This window comes from Homo sapiens, chromosome 11 (assembly GCF_000001405.40).
Source record: "Homo sapiens chromosome 11, GRCh38.p14 Primary Assembly".
NCBI lineage: Eukaryota > Metazoa > Chordata > Mammalia > Primates > Hominidae > Homo > Homo sapiens.
Window position 1 is genome coordinate 22,250,097 of NC_000011.10, and position 25,224 is coordinate 22,275,320.

Here is a 25,224-nt window from a genome sequence, read left to right on the forward strand (position 1 = left end):
GTTGAGTAACTTCACCAAAATTACATGTCTAGAAAGCAGTGGAGCCAAAATTAGAATATATGCCTGTCTGAATACAAAATCAAGGCTCCAGACTATAACATTCTTCCATATTCTGATTCTGTTTTTACTCTTTTTCACAGGAATTATTATGGAGAAAAAATTGGTATCTATTTTGTCTTTCTTGGATTTTACACAGAAATGCTATTCTTTGCAGCTGTAGTTGGCTTAGCTTGTTTTATTTATGGCTTATTATCAATGGAACATAACACAAGCAGGTAAGTGCACCTGAGTTGCCCAGATAGAGAAAACATCTTTATCTTGTGCCAAATGAAGTTGTTGTTATTATTTCCCTGGCATTTCCTTCAGAATGTTTCCTTATAGCAGCAGATAATCGATATTTTCCAAAAACTACTCAAACATAACAGTTGCCTCTCACCTGGTGCTTTATGGAAAATCTGTTTTTAAAGCTGGGCTCTGAAAACTCTACTCCTCAAAGCATGACTTGACCCACTATAGAAATTGCTGCTTGATTGCCCCTTCTGTTATATGTGAGAAGTTATATAAGTAGTTGTTCTAATAAGAACAGCTTGGACTTTTACCTAAACACCTATCACTGTTCAATAACTTTGCTGTTCCTCTTGCAGCACTGAAATCTGTGACCCTGAGATTGGTGGTCAGATGATCATGTGCCCACTCTGTGATCAAGTGTGTGATTATTGGAGACTAAATAGTACGTGTTTGGCTTCAAAGGTATGTATGCATTGTAACATGTTGAAAAGACTTGGAATTTTCCTCCTTTTTATTACATTTAGTACTAAATTATCTTTGTGATATTGTTATTGTTATTTTTACAGTTCTCCCATTTGTTTGATAATGAGTCAACAGTGTTCTTTGCAATATTCATGGGAATTTGGGGTGAGTAAATAGTCCCATAAAGAAACAGCTTTCTTCCTATTAATGTGTTGTTTTGCCTCCATATAACATATGACAGATGAAATATCTTACATACCAAATGTGGTTTTAGATCATTGTGTCTTTGTTAGCATTAATATACTGATGGAGTGCATATTAGTGGCCATTAGTTCTTGGTCCACAAAGGTCTCTGTTAAACATCAGCTCATTTCTCTAAGAGACAACATAATTTTTGAAACATCAAATGTATTAATTTCCCACTGTCTTTCAGTGCCATGTTAAAAACAGGCTCAAAAAATACTTCATTCAGGAGAGACTAAACAAATATTTTGTGGCTGGAGGATATTGATCATGTATACAAACTGGAACACAGATCAAAAACTTGAGGACTAATGAACATTTTTGAGTATAAATTGTCTAGTTACAGTTACCACTTCCACACTCATTCATTAAAAATCCTTCATATAGAATGGAATTTCCCTTAACTTTGAAAATGCCCTGCCCAGGACTTCATATTTTAACCATTTCAGTTGGAAAGTTAAAGTGTCATGAAGTTTTTCCTATCATCAGCAAGGAAAATGTTTTCTGTAAGAATAACTTCGTTGGAAGAGACCTAAAGACTGGTCTAAAATATATCACAAAACTTGGAGTTCCTGGGTGTAAATTAGACATTTTTCCCAGTTAAAAAACACCTCTAACAAACACAAATATATGCCATTCAAAACTGGGCAAGGGCGGCCAGGCACGGTGGCTCATGCCTGTAATCCTAGCACTTTGGGAGGCTGAGGTGGGCAGATCACGAGGTCAGGAGATCGAGATTACCCTGGCTAACACGGTGAAACCCCGTCTCTACTAAAAAATACCAAAAAAAATTAGCCAGGCGTGGTGGCAGGTGCCTGTAGTTCCAGCTACTTGGGAGGCTGAGGCAAGAGAATGGCATGAACCCGGGAGGCTGAGCTTGCAGTGAGCCGAGATTGTGCCACTGCACTCAAGCCTGAGAGACAGAGCAAGACGCCGTCTCAAAAAAAAAAAAAAAAAAAAAAAAAAAAAACTAGGCAAGGGCTGCATTATCCAGTCAAATAACATCAAAATTTGTAGTATGTTTGCAAAGCGGAGGGATTTATGGCTTTCTCTCATTTCTGCTTGGCTGCTGTGGTCTGAAGAGAGCAGCCTAGATTCAAAGAAAGAATAAAGAATCTAGAAATCTTATTAATGGTTTAACAGCAACCTCAGTTTTTGTAAGTTGTTGTATATACATCCATTTTTCATGAGGCTGCCAAATCCTACCTCTCATTACTTGGAATCAAAAATGAATGATAGGTGCATGATTAAAACAAATACATTGTGAGAATTTTCCATTGTTTCCATTGAGAGAGATTGTGCACCAACACCTGCCTTATATTACATCATAAATAGAGGAGTGGGTGTGTGTGGAGCACCCTTCAGCACTATTTGCAGTTACTTGATCACAAGTGAGACTGATCACATTTTTAATATTTACTGACCATTGGCTCTCCTTGATGTTTGAAGTATTTAAATTTTTTTATGATTCACATGTGCTTTTGTATAATAAGCACAGTAATCCTTTGTCTGCCACATAAATTGCAAATATTTTTTTCAGTTTGTAATTTACATTTGATCTCATTCGTAGTCAATGGACATTTTAATATATATTACTGGTCATAAAACTTTCCTTATGGTTTTTCTTGTTTTTGTGTTTCTTTAGAAAACGTTCCCCACTGAGAGATAATGTAAGATGTTCACCTATGCTTCATTTCAGAAATTTAATGATTTCATTTTATTTATACTTTAATATAATTCAGCAACTAGTTTTTAAAGTTTCTACCCTGGAACAGGTACCATTCTAGGCAATAGGAATTTAAATATGCACATACATGGTCCTTGATTTTAAGACATATTTTGAGTGTACATGCCTCCATGATTGCAATTGTGTATAAGCCAGGCTCATCACTAGATTACTTGCTCCTTTAGGACAAACACCATGGCTTTCATCTCCATAGTTCCAGGGCTAGGCATATGGTATGTATTCAAATATATGTTGAATAAATAAATAATTTAAATGCTAATTGTATTCCTTCTTAAAAATGAAAAAGGTCAAGTCCTACTTAGGCACAATCTATAAGGCCCAAACCAAGGGTCCCTTTAATTTCCTGAAATCCTTTTCAGGGAATATATGAATCCTGTGATTCCTATATACTTATAATCACAAAAGTCCGTAGAAATCATGGGAACAATATTGTTTTTAGTCCACATCATTTCTCTTTCCTTACAGTACTCTTTTTGCTAACTATTTTGTACCATCATTAATTTATCTCACAATCCCATCTATGTTGGCCAACTTTCTTATTTCTACTTCAGCATTAACAAACTTTGAGACAAGAAATTTTAAATGATTAGTGTATTTAAAAGTTTTAGCAGTATGTATATGACATCCAATCTCTTGCATAGCCATAGTAACCAAATACTGCTTCTAAAATTAATGGTAGTTGTTCTATTGTAGTATAAACAAACAAGCAAATATTAAAATGTTTAATAGTACCAAGTTCATGAAACTGTTCTCCCTGCTAACAATGTATCTACTGCATACAGCAGTAATGAAATGAGTAGAGTAGAAGTTTCTGCCTTACGAAATTCACAACCAATATTAAATGATAGAATGAATAAGTGAATGAAATATAACCTGTTGTTAAGAAAGTTACAATCTAATTGGGTTAGAATCTGAAGTCTACTTTCGTAGAAGTGCATTGTAAATGCTGAGGGAGTACAGAGGAGGGCTGAATTACTTTTTGACTGGAGGAGTTATATGAGGTATCTAAAATAGCCAAACTTATGGAATCAAAGAGTGGAATTGTGGTTACCAGGGCTGGACGATTAGGAAATGAGCAGTTACTAATCAATAAGCATACTTTAAAGTTTCAATTAAGCAAGATGAATAAGGTCTGTACAACATTGTACTAATGGTCCACAATAATTAATTGTATACTTTACAATTAAGTGGTTAGTCTACTGTGTTCTTCCCATTTAATAAATGTTTAAATATTTCTTTAAAGTTTAAATAATGAGCAAAGGAAAACATAAGCCAATGTATACATGAGCAAATAAACAAACAAAAAAACAACAGTCAGATGATAGGTATATTTGCACTGGAAAAATATATTTTGGAAGCTGAGAGAGCAATTAGATGACTGTAATGATAAAAATATAATTAGGATTTTTAAAAATGTATGGATATCATCCATAGTTCCTTACATTATTTAAAAGGTAGAGAGTGAGTCAGAAAGTTGAATCTTTTATAGATGATACAATTATGAGTTAATATTGGAGGTGTTAGTATTCTCTTCCTAAGTATATCCGAACAGAAAGGCATGTATATGCCCACCAATAGATACGTACAAGAATGTTCACAGCAGCACTATGTGTAATAGCAGGTATCTGGAAACAACTCAAATGTCTGTCAGCCCAAGAATATATAACCAGAACTGCAATTTAACCGTAGAGTCGAACACTATGCAGCAATGAAAATAAATGAATTTTCGCTGTACACAGCAACAAAGTTGAACCAAAAAAAAAAAAGCTTGACACGAAAAAGTATCAGTTGTATATCATTTAAGTAAATATATTTGTAATGGAATATTTTTTATATTGGTGCTGGTTATATGGGTATATTTATTTTGTGAATTTTTTTGAATTGTACATTTATACTTTATGTATTTTTCTGTAAATATATATTCTTCAATTGAAAGTTGATAATTCCAGCACTTTGGGGGGCTGAGGTGGAAGGATCACTAGAAGCCAGGAGTTCAAGACCAGCCTGGGTGACAGAAGGAGACTCAAATAAAGACATAAAAAGAAAGCTGAAGTTTTGTGTGTATATATAGTATATGTAGTTTAAAAGAGAGAGTAATTGTGCTGGGGATTGGCTCTTATGCTTCCTAGGTATATTTCCCCAAGCCTGAGAAAGCAGTACAAAGACTTGAATGATTTCAATAAAAGATAAAAGATACATGCAAAAAAAAATATTTCAGTGTTAATAAAAAGCTAAGTTCAAATATTACTTCAAATTGTCTGAATGAAGAAATATATTAATATGTCTGAAAAAAATTCTTGCTTGGACCACTGACCAAGAAACTAAATTTTTGTATGATTTTTTTTCAGTGTATTATTGGATACACAATATTATGCCAACACTAATAATTGATGAAGTTTTAATCAAACACAACAGTGAAAGAATAGCCACCTGAAACATGTGAACCATCCTGCAACCAAAGTAATTAAAGGGAAAAGTTGAAAAAGTTTTTAACTTTTTTAATATCTTTTTTTTATATATTTATTTACCTATAGTCACCTTATTTTTGGAGTTTTGGAAACAACGACAAGCCAGACTGGAATATGAATGGGACCTGGTGGACTTTGAAGAGGAACAGCAGCAGCTTCAGCTGAGACCAGAATTTGAAGCTATGTGTAAACACAGGAAATTGAATGCAGTGACTAAGGTAGACTAGAAAACTGTGAAACGGACAGCATATCTCAATGGACACACTGCTATAGGTTTCTTCTCATATAATCATAGTTTATTTTGCCTTTAAAATATTCTGCAACGTATAAATCACATAAACTTCTTTACTTGTTTCTAATATACATACATGTATATAAATGTATATATAGAATGTATATATATGAAAATTTTCAAACACTTTCAAATGTAGATAGAAAAATATAATGAACTACATGGATGAACCCATCACTCAGAATGAATCGTTTTTAATTCATGGACAATCTTGTTTCATTCATACTCATACTCTTTTGTGTCACTAAATTATTTGGAAACAAATCCAAGGCATAATAACATTAAACTAAGTGCAAAAAGGAAAATAATGTGTATGCTGTGGGCTTTGCATATAAATGTACAGACATTGAAATGATGCTAAGTGATATATAAAAATTAAAATAGTATTTATATTAAGATTGAGGTCTTATGTTTTATTAGACTAACTTTTCTTCACACGGCCCCTTTTAACTGATTATATTGAGAATCATTGTATTTGTGTATGGGGGAAGAAGTCTACATATTAGAATGCTTAGCTGACAAACCAGCTATATGTTCTTGACTGAGTTGTTTAACTTTTTGGTACCTCACTTTTTTCATGTGAAAATGGAAGTGCTTTGCCTTTAAAGACCAGAATCTTGGTTACATATTTTTTGAGCCCCTATCTTCCCGTAATCTACAATCACTGTGTTTCCTGCTGCTATTTAAAAGAGAATAATATGTGTCCTAAATACACTCTCTTCAATAGAATTCCCTATTCTCTTCAGAAAATTATTCTCGCAGTATAACATTTAAAATTATTTTCACCATTTAGGCATTCACTGAACAATTACTAAATTTCATTGAAAGATCATGAAAACATCTCAAAAGATCATGAAAACATCTCAGAAAATACATTAACAATGTGGGTGGCAGTTTGAAATTAAGAAAATATATTAAAAGATACTGACAGAATAATGACATGATGTTCATTCCTATTTCACGAAATAAAAAAGTAAACAAAAGCAGTCCTATTAGCTTTGCCAAAAATTAACAGAAAAAAATGTATTGAATGCTTACATTTGAATCCAGTTGAAAAGCCATATGTATTGATTCACTGTGAATTGTTGGCTTCACTTAGCTTTCATGGTTTAGAAATCATGAAACAGAGTTTTTTTTTGTTTTGTTTTGTTTTGTTTTTTACTTATTGCAGTGCTTCCTCAGTGTTTAAGGACGACCAGAACTGTCACATTTGAGTCCACATTGGGAACACACATGTGCACCCACACAAATATGCATACAGATGCATGAACACGCATACATTGGGTGCACACATGAACACACATGTACACAGTGACATATATGCCTACATGCACACACATTCTGAGGTGTGTAGGACTCTTGGACAGCTGACTCTGCCTGTTGAGAGTTCTATTTTTATTCAGACCACCCTAAAAATTCTTAAAATGTGAAATATTATGTTATGGAATTACATGATTTTGATTTCTGCTGACAGCGTTTTTTTTTTGTTTGTTTGTTTTGTTTTGTTTTTTTACTATTTTTTGCTTCTTTTGGGTAAAATCTACTTACTTCTTGATGCACCTAAGAATGTCAGCTGTATAATCAATATCTTTCATTAATAACTCCTAAAGACTAAAGGTGGAATTCTTGGCTCCTGAGCTATGTGGAAGAACACAGTTTATCTGAAAAATATAAAGAAAGCATCTAATTTAATATCATGCAGAGCAATGTAATTCAATTCAATTAGAATAAAATTATAACACCATTAAACATCATAAATCATGTCTACCTAGGCAGCAACCTTCATTATTCATTATTTGACTTTATTTACTCAGTGCCAGGCCCTAAACATTGTAATTCAGCATTTAGGAAATTGTGTGTATCCATTATGTTTCATATCATGTGTAAGATAACCCATCTAGGAGGCCTGGAGATTTCTCCTTCAAGAGAAGGAACCATTCCTATAATGTAGCTTTCCATGACCTATAGTAGGCCCTTTTGGGAGACTCCTACTTTAACTGGGCTCTGTGATATTGACTAGTGCTTGGAGTCTTGACTTAGAGGGGAGATTTTGAATTTCTTTGTGATTTCTTCAATATTACAGGAGATGGAACCTTACATGCCTCTATACACGCGTATTCCATGGTACTTTCTTTCAGGAGCCACAGTGACATTATGGGTGAGCATTTCTTTAAAAATTGCTATAATTTCTTCAACAGGTGATTAAATGAGCTATCTCAACAGTGTTACCTACAATGTCTCTTGAGTCTTTCCTTTCCCTCTCCCTCCCTGGTCTTTTTATCTTGGTTATAGCTCTTATACAAAATAAACTGTAATTTATGTGGATTTTCCATACTTAAACTTTGGGAAAAGATCTTGGGGAAAAGGAGGTACTTTATCTTAAAGCCCGTCCCTCCCTGCCTCACGACACTTCGTTTAAGTGATCACTTGAAATCAGGACAGAATAACAAACTTACTCTGATTCCAGGCTCTTTGGTTAGTTTTAGAAAAATCATGAATGTATCTTTATTTCCACCTTATTTCCTGCTCTTCCTTTTTCCAAATGTGTTCCCTCTTAACACTTAGCATCTAATTTTAGGAAAACAGGCAGTGTTACCTTCTAAGAGGTTAGTTAGCATGTTGAAATATAAATAATTGACAGTTGTAGACTATAGTTTAGACTCACCAGTCCATAAACCCCATATGATTTATCTTTAGCATTTCTTGTTAAATCTACTATTTTCATATTTTAAAACAGTAAAAATATGTTTTCTTAGATTACATAATAATCATTGAGGAGATGTGATAAAATAAAAGGGGGAGAATCATTAATTCAGGACTCTCTTTTGAGAAATCTTCTGGAGTATATCCCCAGAAAATTATTCTGTTTTTGATTTCTAGTTTTCATTTAATTTGACTCGCTTCCTCAACTTTTAGAATAAAATTCTCTAATGATTGATAGAAAGCCATCTTTGTGCTTTTGCAATATGGGAAGTATACAAAATTTATACAGAATGTATATAAATTTCTAAACTACCACGCATATTAGCGCACTAATGGCAATATTCTGAGGGGAAATGAAATACAATATTGACATGTATTTTTCTTAGGAAAATAAGTGATCTTGATTCTACATCTTTAACTTCAATGTAGAGCATGAGTCAGCAAACATTTTCTGTAAAGGGGCCAGATATATTTTTGGCTTTGTGGCCACATATAGTCTCTGGAACATAATTGCCTTTATTTTTCTCTATAACCTTTAGAAATGCAAAAGAAGGCTGGGCGCAGTGGCTCACGCCTGTAATCCCAGCACTTTGGGAGGCCAAGGTAGGCAGATCACGAGGTCAGGAGATCGAGACTATCCTGGCTAACATGGTGAAACCCCGTCTCTACTAAAAATACAAAAAATTAGCCGGGTGTGGTGGCGGTCACCTGTAGTCCCATCTACTAAGGAGGCTGAGGCAGGAGAATCCCTTGAACCTGGAAGGCGGAGCTTGCAGTGAGCCAAGATCACGCCACTGCACTCCAGCCTGGGCGACAGAGCGAGACTCTGTCTCAAAAAAAAAAAAAAAAAGAGAAAAAAACACAAAAGAACATTCCTAATTTAAGGACCAGATAAGATCAGGCAAGGCCACGGGCAGGATTTGGCTTTCTACTATAGTTTGCCACTCCCTACTAGAGGATGAGCCTAGAGGATGAGCAATGAATACGTTTCTCTTTTAGACTTAATCAGCAGCTACTATATGCCTTATCTCTAACCCTTTTACCTTGCCAGTGTTCATGTCTTGCCATCTAGGGAAAGAGAGACTGACTTAGTTTGCTTTGCACATGAGAACTGCTAAACTTCATATAATGAGATGAACAGAATAATCAATATGTTAGATATATATTCATAACAGAGATACAGAGACCCAAATAGCAGTTCTTTGTTTTCCTTTCCCAGATGTCTCTTGTCGTCACCAGTATGGTAGCTGTAATTGTGTACCGCCTGTCAGTCTTTGCTACATTTGCTAGTTTCATGGAAAGTGATGCATCCTTAAAGCAGGTCAAAAGCTTCCTTACTCCTCAGATAACCACATCACTCACAGGATCATGCTTGAACTTTATTGTCATCTTGATCTTGAATTTCTTTTATGAAAAGATATCTGCCTGGATCACAAAAATGGGTAAGCTGGCCAAATCATTTGTGTGATTCTGAAGAATGATTCTTATTGATGCTATATGTCTATTTTGGATCAGGTCTCCAGGAGTTCATTTTCAAAGGACACATTTTAAGGCAGTTTTTCTCTATAAATAGACCCATATCTGCTATTTCAAAATTGCTCAAGAGCCACCATTCAAGGTCCATTATAAAGGAAGAGGCAAAATAACTGAAAAAAAAAAAAAAGAATTCTGACTCTATATATCTTTCTCAGTATCCTTGTCTTAATTCTCCCTTGATGGGTCTAGTTGAATCCTAAGAAAAATAATCACTTTACTGAAGACACAGATAATTTTTGTTTCATGTGTATGGTTCTTATAAAGTATTGATTTTGGAAGTTATTGTGAGAAAAACAGAAACATCAGCTTCTCCTAAATAAATCTAAATTTTAGCGCTTTTCTTTTCTACTGCTATCTCTTAGAATTTGGAATATTTTCTTGTTAAAATATTAAAATTTCTACTTCAAGCCACAGGGGAAAGTGAAAGGGGTCACAGGTTAAGTGAGAAATTGAGTTAAGTAGAGCAGCACAGAGCACAGTCGCTTCTGCTCTTTTTCCTGGCAAGTTAGCAGTAAGATCGGAAACTCAAATCAAGGCATCAGCCTCTTCTCTGAGTGTTCTCTCCAGGGTTCAAGCTCGTTTGAATCTGTTGTACATAGACATCATGGCTGACGTCAAGCAAAAGACCACATTATTCAGTCAGCGCTGGAATGATCACTGAGATGAGACTTTCATTATATACTATCTTCAAATTTGGAGTTCTCTCCCATTTTTACTTTTCTCTGCTATCAACAGTGAGAAAATCATAGCAGATAAATTGCTTTTAAAAGCACCTAAAAACTCACCATTTTCCTCAATGGGAAAAAAAATCAAGTTCACATTACAGGTTTTGTAGGAATACAGCTACATTTCACTAAAATGGGGGAGTTATCTGTGTCTTTAAAATAATTTGTGATACTCTTCCAGTATTGCTGAAAATGTCATGATTTGGCTGGATCAGCTCATGCTACTGGGAGATCATCAGCTCAGGAAAACATACTTTTCTACATTTTTGTGCTTCATGATCCTCTATTGCAGGGTGAAGATAATTTAATATTTTGTTATCTTTAGAATTCATTAAATGACAGATCATGATCATGCATTTTAAATAAAGGAGAGGGAAAATGTGTATTGTTTCTGCCACTATTTGCTAATTACATTATTTTCAAAATTAATATAGCCATTGAATTAATGAGAGGGCAACACAATTCTGTTGGAAATCATCCCTGCCCTTGACATGAGCTTACTTTCTTTAAACCTGATTGTAAAACAGATGAGTTCTAATGGCTTATAGCATGGCAGATAGTGTTTGGAGATGAGCATAAGTTTCTTCAGTCTTATTTGGTGTATTAGTTTGTTTTCACACTGCTATAAAGATACTACCTGAGACTGGGTAGTTTGTAAAGGAAAGAGGTTTAATTGACTCGGTTCACATGGCTGGGGAGGCCTCAGGAAACTTAACAATCATGGTAGAAGGTAAAGGGGAAACAAACACGTTTTTCATAAGGCAGCAGGAGAGAGAGAGTGCATGGGGAAGTGCCACACTTTAAAACCATTAGCTCTCAATTGGCGAGGCATGGTGGCTCATGCCTGTAATCCCAGCACTTTAGGAGACAGAGGCAGGTGGATCACGAGGTCAGGAGTTTGAGACCAGCCTGGCCAACATGGTGAAACCCTGTCTCTACTAGAAATACAAAAAAATTAGCCAGGTGTGGTGGTGCACATCTGTAGTCCCAGCTACTCGAGAGGATGACGCAGGAGAATTGCTTGAACCTGGGAGGCGGAGGTTCCAGTGTGCTGAGATCACGCCACTGTGCTCCACCTGGGTGACAGAGTGAGATTCCGTCTCAAAAATAAATAAATAAAACCATTACCTCTCTTGAGAATTCACTCAATACCAGGAGAACAGCATGGGGGAAACCACACCCATGATTCAATGGCCTCCCACCAGGTCCCTCCCTTGGCACGTGGGAATTACAATTTGACATGAGATTTTGGTTGGGACAGAGTGCCAAACCATATCATGTGGGTTTGAATTTCAAATTCTGTGTAACCCCAAGACAAGAATGCTGTCTCTCTGACTGTGGTAACAATAGCTTCCTAGGCTTTTCCAGTGGTTAGTTTAATACAAAATGTGTAACAGAAAGTCTAGCACAAATCCATAGTTACTTAATATTGGCCTACTATCGCCAGAATGGGGAGCATTCTATAGGCTCCCAGAATGATGTGACTAGATGTTCACTTGTCCTAGGGAGTACGAAGTTCAAGGAAAAAAATAAGAAGATGCACTAAACATTTTTTTTTAACTTAACAGAAATTCCTCGAACATACCAGGAGTATGAGAGCAGTCTTACCTTGAAAATGTTCCTGTTTCAGTTTGTAAATTTTTACTCATCCTGCTTCTACGTAGCTTTCTTTAAAGGGAAGTTCGTAGGCTATCCTGGAAAATACACATATTTATTTAATGAGTGGAGAAGTGAAGAGGTAAGAATTTCCTTGAGAGTTGAGGTGTGTAGCTTCAATACCTCAGTATTAACAACTTTCTGTGTGTCAAGCACTGATTCACATGCTAAAAAATTACAAAATATATCTAGGCACTGACTCTATCCACAGAGAGTATTGTTCACAGATGAATCCTGTCATTTGATAAACTTCTCAGTTTATTTTTGAGCAAGAAGTTACATTATGCCTATGGTTTAGCAGTAAAATATGAAATATAAAATGACATAAGTTCTTTATTCCTGAAAATTTCCTGCAAAGGAAGACTGATTACTTTCTGTAGAAATGGTTCCACTATGGGTAGTAGAGTTAGAACAGATCCATGGCTTCCAAATTGTGGAGAATGGAAGATATAACAACTCCCAACCCTAACCCAGATATAAAGAACTCAGAATTTTCTAAGAATGAGACCCAGAAATCTGTGTTTTTTAACACAGTTCACAGATGAATCTAATGCAGCTAGCCTGGCACTGGTCTGTGATCAGGTTTGGAACTATTGGGCTAAATATATCTTAACCCTTCCAACCAAAACCTTTAGATTCTAATTTTATAGTTTAGGGTTTCCTTTAGGTGTTGCAAAATTCCATCTTTGATCATTCAATTCTGTTTTCTCCCCTCTTGCTTCTGACTAGTGTGATCCTGGAGGCTGTCTTATAGAATTGACAACCCAATTGACCATTATAATGACCGGGAAACAGATTTTTGGAAACATTAAAGAAGCCATTTATCCGTATGTATGACTTACAAGCTTTTTATTTGATTTAAGTAACCATGAGATATTTCCTCTAGAAGAAGATGGAATTTTTTGATTACCATGGTGCCTTTGTTAGAAAATGTTTAAGCCAAAAGAAAGCTTTATTTTTAATCAACAGTGAAGGTTGCATTAAAGTAATATAAACTCTTATTTTTATTTATTTATTTATTTTGGTTCCATGGCTAGCAAGGTTTTTAAAAAATTTTATTTGACAAATAATAATTATCTATATTTATGAGGTACAATATAATGTTTTGAACACAATCTTTTAAATATGCATTTTTGTTACTTTTCTTTCCTGTGAAGATTTCACTGGGACATCTAAATGCTATATCCTCTGCAGTTTATTCTACATGCTGTGTATTATTTCTGAATATTACTAAAAGGTGAACTTTGTAAAAATATCGATGTGTCATGTAATCTAGGCATAAAAATAGATTGTAAGTGAAATGATGGAGACTTTCAGGTCAATACATGAAAGATTGCTCTCTGATCAAAACACAGCAATAATGAATACATTATAAAAAGAGAAAACTAAACTGACAGTTTATCTCAAATAGTAGATGAAAATTGTCATGGATAAAAAGAGAAAGAATTATAAAATCGTAAGTCTACGATCCTTCAGGGCTCCTAGTTAGGAAATGACTGTGTCAGGGTTTGGCATGCAATACAAAGTGGAGTAAAAGTGCTCCACTTAAGACAGAGGCCCATCCACTTTAACTGCACTTGAAGCCAGAGACTGGGTTTATTCTCACTCATGAAAGAAGACTGAAAACACCATCCCTGCACCTTCCCACCTCCAATATACACACAATTTCATAGTGCCACTTAGGGCTCTATTTCAAGTACTAACAAAAGAAGAACATGGACTTATCCTTACAAATGGTAATAAATGTAAGCCTAGCCTTCTAGTTTCATGCTTAGATATACCACATCCATAAGGGAAATAGCCAAACCTTTTTTTTTTTTTTTTTGAGACAGAGTTACACTCTGTTGCCCAGGCTGGAGTGCAATGGCGCAATCTCGGCTCACTGCAACCTCCACCTCCTGGGTTCAAGCAATTTTCCTGCTTCAGTCTCCTGAGCAGCTGGGATTACAGGCATGTGCCACCACACCTAGCTAAGTTTCTGTATTTTTAGTATAGATGGGGTTTCACCATGTTGACCAGGCTGGTCTGGAACTCCTGACTTCAGGTGATCCACCCGCCTCAGCCTCCCAAAGTGCTGGGATTACAGGCGTAAGCCACCATGCCTGGCCCCCAAACTTTTATTTTAAGTTCTAGCTCTAGATTGAGAACCCAGAGGACTGAATGGAGGCAATACCTAAACCAAACAGAAGATGGGGGATACATATACACAGAGAGGGAGAGAGACAAAAGACAGGGGAGGTAAAAGAATAAAAAAATTTTAAAAAAAAAACAAGCAAATTAACAACAACAACAACAACAAAAACCCTGAACCTTCCTAATAACGAAAATTTCAAAATGTGGTAATATTTAATGCTACAAAGGCTGTGAACAAAATCAATTATTAGAAAGTGAACTTACCCCAGCTGATATTTCTAACTAGAATATTCTGGAAAAGCCCTTAAAAAATGATGTTGACAATACTAACAACATAAGGAAAGGTGATACTGTCATTAAAATAGATCAGGAAATAAATAAAAACTGACAGAAATGAAATAAGAATAAGTAAATATGAAATGGAAGCAATTACACATAAGTGAAAAATTATACCTTAAATAATGAGTACAACAAGATGGGAAAATTCCAGAGTACAGTTCCAGCCTGGACATGGTTGAAGAATGTATTAGTGAATTGGAAAATAATAGTGAGAAATTCCTACCTTGTACAGTGTAACAAATATATGACATTTAATAAAAATAAAATAAGGGTATGTTAGATTAAGAGGCTTCCACATTAATCTACTAGTAGTTCCAGAAAAAGTTAATTGAGTCAATGCTGAAGGAAAAAAATATTCGAATAGGTAATTGCTGAACATTTTTCAAAAATGAGGAAAAACACAAGTTTCAGAAATGGAAACAAATTCTGAGTATGAATCAAGATAATAGAATTCAATTCATACCCAGATTCATTATGGTGAAACTACAGAACACCAAAGATAAACAGACAATCTTTAAAAATCTTAGATGAAAAAGATTAACTTTATTCAAATGAATGACATCTACACTATCATCAGTTTCTCATCAATAGCATTAGATGCCAAAAGATAATGTTTTCAAGGTTCTCAGTGAAAATAGTGTTCCCCTTTCATTTCTAGAACCAGGTTAACTATTATTTAAAGTGCTGGTAAAATAGACATTTTTAGACATGAAAAGACTAGGAGAGTTTGCATGTAAAATTGTCACGGAAAGAACTACTGAAAGATTTTCTTGAGCAAAAAGAGATCACAAAGTGAAAGTACAGGATGCAAGAAACATTGGTTAGCACAGAATTTGTTAGCTCCAAACAAATGAAATTATTTGGTAGACTCTAAAGTCATATAGAATTTGTGTGGGGAGAACTACAAAATCCTGATTAAAGAAATTGTAAAACTATATAAATGGAGAGAAATATCATGTTGGTGGTCAATTATCCCCAAATTGATATATAGATTTATTGTTATTATAATCAAAATATCAGCAGGATTTTTATAGGTATAGACAAGTGGATTCTAAAATTTATATGGATGGCCAAGGAACTAAAATAACCCAAACAAGTATGATAAAAGAAGAATAAAGCTGTAGGAAACACCCTACTCAATTTTAAGGCTTACTACAAACTATATTAATCAAGACAATGTAGGATTGGTGAAGGGATAGTTATATAAACTAATGGAATGGAGTAGAGATTGTAGAAACAGATATTACAGAAATTTGTGCTCTAGCCAAATATGACCATTTAATTTAAGACAGGTGCAAAAACAATTCATTGATGAAAGAGTAGTCTTTTTCGTAAATGGTGTTGGAAAAATTGGACATCGCATATGCAAAATAATGAAACTCTATGTGAAACTTGCTCCTCATTCATAAATGAACTCAAAATGGATCATAGACAAAACTATTTTTTAAAAAGCAAGGAAGTGATTATTATAAAATTTAAGATAATGGTTATGGATGTGGGGATTGAAGAATTTATAAATGGAATGAAGCACATGAAAGAGCTTCCGAAATTTCTAGCCATGTTCTGTTTCTTGAACTGAGTGATCTCTTTTCCATTGTGACTCCAGTTAGAGTATGCTCGTCTGTTTGATAGTGTCTCAGAAATCACAGGTGCTTTTTCCTCTTTACATCATTCATTTTTCCTCTTTGTGTTTTGGTTTGAGTATAAGCAATATACAAATGTTCCTCTTAATCCACATTTGCTACAGTACTTCATATTGTCTTATTAATTTTTGCCAACTGGGGGTTATAAATGATATCTCATTTTAGTCTAATTTTGCATTTTTCTGATTAACAACATGAATAAGTATTTTTGGCCATATTTGTTTCCTTTTCAATTAAATGCTTGTTCATGTTGTTTAACCATTTTCCTACTTGTCAATCTTTTTTCAATTTATTTCTATGAATACTTTTAAACTTCTGGTTACTGGTTTTTGTTTATTTGCTTCTTTTTTGGTTATATATGTTGAAAATATTTTATTCTAACATAAATGTTATCTTTTTATTTTTTAATAATATGTTTAGGTCACAGTTTCACAACCACAGAATTACTGATATAATTCTTAGTTGTGGGGTGTGGGTTATCCTTTGGATTGTAAGATGTTTGACAGCATCCTTGGACTCTATCCACTAGATGCCAGTAACTCATCCCTCTCCAGTTGGGACAACCAAAATATCTCCAGAGAGTGCAATTGTGTCATTGTGGGCAAAATTACTCCCAGTTGGAAACCACGGCTTTAGATGAACAAAATTACATAACTTTAATGTGGTAGAATTTATCAATCTTTTATTTTATGTGTTAGCATTTTTAAAGAATTGTTTAAGAAATATTTTCCTACCCAGGATTATAAGACATTTTCATTATTATTTACTATATCGGTTAAAGTTATGCAAAAAGTAAGGTCCTAGGCAAAATACTGGATATGCAGATGTACTGATAAAAAGTTATATGGAAACACACACACATACACAAAGATATTCTCATATACTTACTTCTAAATTTTTTATACATTTTAACATTATTGTTTTTCACTTTCAAATTCTAAATATACGTGGATGGGATTTTTACGTTTGATATGAGATACAAGTCTGTTTTTTACATATATGTGTATATATATGTATAAACTATATATTTGTATAAATCCTTATATTACCATTTATTGAAAAGTTCCTTTTTCGTATGCTCCATCATCTACAATACTCTTCATCTACATACAATATTATCTACAATACTTTTTATGCCATATAAACACTATCTACATACCATATAAATATCTACAATTATATATATATATATAAAATCTATCTACAATTATACCAAGTGCAAGGCTATTTCAAGTTTTCCACTCTATCCCAAGATTTGTTTATCCCTGTACCAGTACAACAATCTCTCTCTTTTTTTTTAACTGTTCAGAGGTACATGTGCAGATTTGTTACACAAGTAACTTGTGTCATGGGGGTTTGTTGTATAGATTATTTTATCATCCAGGTATTAAATCTAATACCCAGTACTTATTCTTCCTGATCCTCTCCCTCTTCTGACACTCCACCTTCTGATAGGCCCCAGTGTCTGCTGTTCCCCTCTATGTGTCTGTTTGTTTTCATCATTTAGCTCCCACTTATAAGTGAGAACATGTGGTATTTGGTTCTTGCATTAGTTTGCTAAGGATAATGGCCTCCAGCTCCATCCATGTTCCTGCAAAGAACATGATCTTGTTCTTTTCTATGGATGCCTAGCATTCCATGGTGTATGTGTACCACATTTGCTTTATCCACTCTACCACTGATGGACATTTAGGTTGATTCCATGTCTTTGCTATTGTGAATACAGTACTACAATCTCTTAATTAATATAGCTTTCTAAATCTTGATATCTGGTGGGGCAACATTTATCAACTTATTTTTTATCTGTAGAACTGTCTTGGCTATTCTTGGTCTTTTATCAATCTATATAGATTTTATAAACATCTTGTCAGATTTTACATGGAAAAATAATTTGGCTTTTTCATTGAAATTATATTTTAATTGTTTCAATATAAACAGTTGACTTTTTTTTTTAATAATACCGAGCCTTCTTACTCGTCAACATTTAAATTGGACCTTAATGAATTCTAATAAATATTTTAAACTTCTACATATAGGTCTTATAAATCTTTTGTCACATCAGTGTCTAGGTACTTTTTAATTGCTATTGTAAATGATATCTTTTTAGAATATATATGTTTTCTACTTGTGTGTTGTGGGTGTATAGGAATGAAATATATTAATAAACCCTAATATTGTTTCTACTCATTTTTGTCTAACTTCACTTGGGTTTTCTATTCAGACAATCACATCACTGTTAATAATCACAGATTTCTCCTTTATTTCCAAATATTTTGCCTTTCTTATTTTATTTTACTGGCTAAGATCTCCAGCAATCTTGAATGTGATCATGCAAGTGCTTATTTTGTTCTTGATTCTAAAGGAAATGCTTCAGACTTTTCCCAAGTAAGAATGCTGTTTGCAGCCTGGTGCATTGGCTCATGCCTGTAATCCTAACATTTTGGGAGGCTGAGGAGGGAGGATTGCTTGAGCTCAGGAGTTCAAGACCAGCCTGGGCAACATAATGGGACCCCGTCATGTGGAATAAAATTTAAAAATTAGCTAGGCATGGAGGCACATGCCTTTAGTCCCAGCTACTTGAGAGGTGGAGGCAGGAGAAAAGGTCAAGGCCGCAGTGAGCTGTGATCACACCACTGCACTCCAGCCTGAGTGGCAGAGTGAGACCCTGTCTCAAAAAAGAAAGAAGACAGACATAGAGAAAGAAAAAAGGAGAGAGGGAGAGAGAGAGAAAAGGAAAGAAGGAGGGAAGGAAGGACGGAAGGAAGCAAGGAAGGAAGGGAGGGATTAAAGAAAGGAAAGGAAAGGAAGGGAGAAAGGAAAGGAAAGGGAAGGGATGGGAAGGGAAGAGAAGGAAAAGGGAAGGGAAGGGAAGAGAAGGGAAGAAGGAAAGAAGAAAGGAAGGAAGGAAGGAGAAAAAAAGAAAGAGAAGGAAAAGGGAAGGGAAGGGAAGAGAAGGGAAGAAGGAAAGAAGAAAGGAAGGAAGGAAGGAGAAAAAAAGAAAGAGAAGGAAAAGGGAAGGGAAGGGAAGAGAAGGGAAAGGAAGAAGGAAAGAAGAAAGGAAGGAAGGAAGGAGAAAAAAAGAGAAGGAAAAGAGAAGGGAAGGGAAGAGAAGGGAAAGGAAGAAGGAAGGAAGGAGAAAAAAGAAAAGAAAGGAAAGAAAAAAGAAAAGGAAGGAAAGAAAAAAAGAAAAGGAAGGAAAGAAAAAAAGAAAAGGAAGGAAAGAAAAAAAGAAAAGGAAAGAAAAAAAGAAAGAAAGAGAAAGAAAGAGTTTGCCCTAGGATTTTAGTAGATATTTCTGATAAGACTGAAATAATTTTTTTCTATTTCTACTTTTCTTTCCTAAGTAGGTTTTAATAGGTCCTTAAAATATATCAAATGCATTTTTCTGCATCAATTGAGATGATTTTATGTTTTTCACCTCAAACCAGTCAATGTGATATATTTATTGATTTGCTAATTTTTCTTTCTTAAAAAGCCTCTTTTTAAAAAAAGTGGTACATTATCATAATATATCATCTTTTTATATAGCATGGAATTTAGTTGGTTAAAATTTTGTTTAATGTTATTCCATTTATTTTCATATTATGTAAGTCATTTCCTATTATAGTCAATTTCATATTTGTTTGAATTTTCTTCTGAGCATCATGACAGCATCAGGATTAGTAAGTGGTCTTAGTGGTAACTCTCTCCTCCACTTATTCCTTAGCCAAACTGTCTCTGAGTAAATATATTTCTCTGAGCAGAGTAAAGATTGTCTCATTTTCTCAATCACCCTAATAAAGAACTCTTGACTTCTGCATGTGTCATGAAAAGAACACCAGATTTTGACTTGCGCTTTGGCTGGTGTCATTTCTCTTTGCTCTGTGATCTTAAGTTATTTAATCTCTAATTTCTGCCAGTTTCCAGATCTAACACTCTGATTCTCTGATCGCTTTCTTTTTGGTCCTATTTCATATATTAACTTTTATCACTTCCAACAGCTTGGCTTTGAATTGGTGGAGACGCCGAAAAGCTCGGACAAACTCTGAGAAGCTGTATAGTCGATGGGAGCAGGATCATGACCTTGAAAGTTTTGGACCCCTTGGGCTTTTCTATGAGTACTTAGAAACAGGTAATTTTTAACCACTGTTTTGAAACATAGAGTTGGCATGAATGAGTGGTTTTTCAGCTCCAGATACTTCTTTCTGCCTTGCACATGGTAGGTGTTCAATAAATCTTTGACTGGTTGGCAAAAAAGATGAGTGGAGGGATATAAAGAAAATTTGTTCCCTATTTCCCTGTTCCATCAAATAGACTGCAGAATAAAGTTTAGCTTCAAAACACCAATCTCAGAGACATAATTCCTGTTAATTGAATGTTAATATTGTTGAACCAAATCAAGTAAGAGTCATTTTTTAACACCCATCTCAAATTCGCTTTGATGGCTATTTCTCCATTTGTTTGCCTCAGTGACAGCTCAAAGATAGAATAAGTAGCCTGGAAAACATTTCCAGAGTTTGACTTGCAATTAGTATATGTCCTTTCTGTGAGGCTAAAAATAAGGCTAAAAGCGATTGTGTAAGGGAAATATAAGCTGAACACAAGAAACATCCAAAACATTGCAAGGTTTGAACAGAGAAGAGACCCTTGAGGAGCAGCTTTCAGAGAGATTTTTCGGGGAACTGCTTATATGGTCTGCTCAGAGCGTTTTCCCTCAAGCAACTTTCTCTGTTTCTCTCGCAGAATTAAGGAAACTGTTTGAGACAGAGTCTCGCTCTGTCGCTCAGGCTGGAGCGCAGCTGCCCAATCTCGGCTCACTGCAGCCTCCGCCTGCTGGGTTCAAGCGATTCTCCTGCTTCAGGAGAATTGCCTGTAGCTGGGACTACAGGTGCGTGCCATCACGCCCGGCTAATTTTTGTATTTTTAGTAGAGTCGGGGTTTCACCATGTTGATGGCCTCGATCTCCTGACCTCATGATTCTCCCGCCTCGGCCTCCCAAAGTGCTGGGATTACAGGCGTGAGCCACAGCGCCCAGCCAGGAAAATAATTTTCTTACCTTTCAAGGCCCATAAAACCGTGGTAGGATACATGAGATGAGCCAAAATTCTTCATACTTCTCCAGTGTAATACATTATGTGATACATGGATTGAAATATAAATTTAGGACAAATAGAAGCTATTTTATAGAACTCTTTGTAAAATCAGATAATCTTTGCCTTATAAGGTGATAAGGCTATGATTTTTAATTGTGTAAGTTTCAAATGAGTTTGCACATATGTACATCAGAGATTACTACTGAAATTAAAAAGTTGAAACAAAGGTTTCATAAGATTGTTTACCACTTATTAAGACATAATTAATTTATTCTGAAAACTATATTATCTCTAATTTTGAAACAATTCTGCAGAGTATTCATTATTCTACACATTTTATTGTTGTGAATTCTGAAACTTGCATAGGTTAATAAATTTTTTATGGGCCACAAAGATTTTAGGTAAAGATATTAGATGTGAACCTAGAAAGTTCATGCTGCTTCTACATAATACTTCCTCTTCATTTTCTACCTCGTAGGTTAGGTAGAGAAAGCAGGAAAAAAAGGAGGTGAATATGTATTTTTTTCACTTGATAAGACGGATTCAGTCAGATGAGAGATGCTAAATTCCAGAAATATTTGAGATATATTTAAAAATGGAGGAATAACGGAAATTTTTTTCCTTTAATGGAAAGCCATTTCCATTAAATGGCTTATTATTTTTTTCTTCAATCATGTGGGAAAGTTGGGCTGTTAATAGCATGGGTTATTTTACCCTAAACATTGTTGGAAACAAAAGAATAAAAATGTGGAGATAAGCCAGCTTACACAGGTGTGGTCCTCTGTTGAGTCTTAATGAGGAGAGAGAATAAAATTTATTTAGAAAGATGTCATGATAGTAAGGAGAATAAAGACCTTAACAAATTTCTTATTCTAGAAAATGTATATTTCCTTTTCCGGCACACACACACACACACACACACACACACACACACACACACACAGCTGGCTGCTGGGATTATACAACTGAATCAGTCATCATTCCTGATCTCAAAAATTAGATGGGCTAGCAAGATAGAAAAACTTGGTTACCTCACTAAATTGCTAATATAGATGTAAAGACTAGACAAGCATAAACCTAAGCTTAGCCCATAATAAAAGGCAAAGAGGAATAGAATCTTCCTTGTAACAAGCATATCTCTAAAGGAAGAGCAAAGAAAGAACTCAGCCATGCATGCCCAGTTTCTCCTTCCAGTTCTAGCAAGCAGGTAAGTCACTGTGCCTCCTGTGGTAGAGGAGGAACTGGACAGACGGATGGAAGCCTGGATTGTCGTATTCGTGTGGATCACTCCAAAACGAAGGAAGTAGCAGGATTTGGGCAGGGTGTTCCTGTCTTTCTCCTTCACAATAATGAGTTCATGCCTTTTTCTTTTCTCTACAGTTACTCAATTTGGATTTGTTACACTATTTGTGGCCTCTTTTCCTTTGGCTCCTCTTCTTGCTCTCATAAATAATATTGTAGAGATTCGAGTGGATGCCTGGAAACTTACCACTCAATACAGGAGAACTGTAGCTTCTAAAGCTCATAGCATAGGTGTTTGGCAAGACATTCTTTATGGAATGGCTGTCCTTTCTGTTGCAACTAATGTAAGTGGACCTATTTCGGTGGGGTGACTTTGTATTTCATTTTGGGGGGTGTGGGGAGATGTGAATGATGCTTAATCTTTACATGATTTCATTATGGTGATACTTTATAAAGCTAAAACATTCCGAAATTGTTATGCGCTAACCAATATAGAAAAACCTATGTCATGCAAACTCTTAGAAATACAAGGACAATTATAAAATTACTCTCATTGAAGTATCATGACACAGTTTCACAGCATGTGACAAAGCAGACAGAAAATAAGTAACAGTATAATGTGTTTGAATAAAACAATTAAAAATTGATTATATTTGTATACTACAGAGAATATACATTTACCTGTTGTGTTTATGAAACAATTATTAAAATGTAAGAACAATAAATTTCCAAAAGCATAACTTTTACAATGCATTTTCACCTACAATATACTTTATAAATTGAAGTTGATAATAAGATAATCAAAAAGAAAATCTAACACTTTTAAGTAGGCATCCTATAAGAGAAAACAGAATTGAAATCATAGAGCTTAATTTAAATGAAAGCCTGTAGGAATGAGCCAAAACCACTATTACAGATAACTCCATTGCCATACATTTTTAATTATTAAAAGAAGACTGGAAAATAAGCTGAGTATATAACTTAAGACACTGTCAAAAATTGTAAATCAAATTGATAGTAGTAAAAAAGAATAAAGATGTAATCAGAAATAATCAAATTAGAAAACAAAAAGCAGTATAATTGCTAAGTAAATCAAGAGCTAGTTTACTGGAAAGACAAAGTAAGTAAAACTCTGAAAAAAAGTATGAGAGACTCTTGTGTCCTCATTTACTCCAATAAATTTTGAAATATATTTGAAATGACCACTTTTTTAGAAAGCAAAAATTGCCAGATCTATTCAGTGAGTAATAGAAAGCCTGAATGTACCATTAGCCATAGAAGTTACATTAGATTTTTTTTAAAGCGTAGCACTAAAATTATAAGTGCCAGAGCCAGATGGTTTTTAATTGACTTATCTAATCTAAAAGAAATATGCTATTTATACTATTCCAGAACTTAGGAAAGGATACAAAATTATCATTCCCATGGAATCAAATACTGAAATTAATTGCACCCAACTGTGAGAAATTTACAAACACATGATATTCTGCTTCTTCATTCCTTTCCTGTTAATCTCTTACACACACACACACACACACACACACACACCCGCAGTCCTACCTCATTGAGTTAGTCTAAGAAAGTTAATTTGGTTAAAGATAGTAGAACTGTGCTGTGAAACAATAAGAAATGTAAGAAATAGAAAGCCTTGATGGAAAGAACATGGTTCGTAGAGACAGATACATTTCGGTCTGACTCTCTACTTAGCCACTTTGTAGCTATGAAATCTTGGAATACTGATCACACACTGTAAATGAGCTACTTTGTGTTTCAGGACAAAGACTTGCATATTACTATGATTTATAATAGTATTTAATCATTTTGCATCTATATAATTTATGGTACTGAGAGATGTACAAATCAGACATTATTAAAACTAAATTGGCAGCTGATGATCTTCCTCTTTTTTTTTTTATTCTTCAGGCCTTTATTGTTGCATTTACGTCAGACATCATTCCCCGTCTAGTTTACTACTATGCTTACTCAACAAATGCCACACAGCCTATGACAGGATATGTGAATAATAGCCTGTCAGTATTCCTGATAGCTGATTTTCCAAACCACACTGCACCTTCGGAAAAACGAGACTTCATCACTTGCAGGTGATTTGTTTGTTTGTTTGTTTAGGTTTTAGTTTTATCCCTTAAGCGTATTTCTTAAGTTATCTATTACCTTTCTGTCTTACAATATAAAGGATTTTCTTAGGGCAACAAAAATCCTGTATAAATAAAGTGTATCCATTCTAGAATTCACACATTGCATGATTCAGATTTGAAAAGGTAAAATGGCAAAAACTAAGATTATGGGTAAAGGTAAAATGGCAAAAACTAAGATTATGGGTAAAGATAACATTAATTCAAACTTTTTTCTTACTTTCTAATGTATCAAAAGGATTTGTCACCAACAAGTGCCCCTTAGTCCAAAGCTGCAATAATCTATAGATCATACAACATTGTCAAATTGTATATACATTTAACTTACTTGAATTTATCTTTGTCCTCAGAAAAGAGAGTGAGACAGTGAAATATAATATGATCAGTTCACCACCTATCCTACTAAAAGGTTTTATACTGTATAGGGAATATAAAATTGCATATGTGAACCTACTGTTTTTACACTCAGTGTATCATGTACTGTGGGATCTTTTCACCATACAATTTAAAGACACACACACA

General features: G+C 34.6%; 1 protein-coding gene across 15 annotated transcripts in view, besides 1 other annotated feature; it reads left to right on the plus strand.

The window, feature by feature from the left end:
• ANO5 (anoctamin 5) overlaps positions 1-25,224 on the plus strand; it is a 90,885-nt gene that overhangs the window by 57,624 nt on the left and 8,037 nt on the right. For 12 of the 15 annotated variants that reach the window (XM_005252822.5, XM_047426522.1, NM_001441294.1 and 9 more), the window contains 11 exons: positions 141-275; positions 645-750; positions 855-915; positions 5,275-5,426; positions 7,584-7,658; positions 9,423-9,645; positions 12,033-12,202; positions 12,850-12,947; positions 20,216-20,346; positions 22,688-22,893; positions 24,473-24,651. In XM_005252822.5, the coding sequence (XP_005252879.1) occupies positions 141-275; positions 645-750; positions 855-915; positions 5,275-5,426; positions 7,584-7,658; positions 9,423-9,645; positions 12,033-12,202; positions 12,850-12,947; positions 20,216-20,346; positions 22,688-22,893; positions 24,473-24,651 (1,536 nt within the window). The remainder of the gene's footprint in view (positions 1-140; positions 276-644; positions 751-854; positions 916-5,274; positions 5,427-7,583; positions 7,659-9,422; positions 9,646-12,032; positions 12,203-12,849; positions 12,948-20,215; positions 20,347-22,687; positions 22,894-24,472; positions 24,652-25,224) is intronic. The other 3 variants (NM_001441300.1, NM_001441301.1, NM_001441302.1) reach the window with 1 other exon arrangement.
• Positions 10,337-10,506: an enhancer, noted in NCBI's record as "experimental_20787 CRE fragment used in MPRA reporter constructs". NCBI's record gives its function as "activates a minimal promoter by MPRAs in K562 erythroleukemia cells, with activity observed for both the introgressed and non-introgressed 11:22282064 variant alleles {active_cell/tissue: K562}" and the evidence as "EXISTENCE:reporter gene assay evidence [ECO:0000049][PMID:34662402]".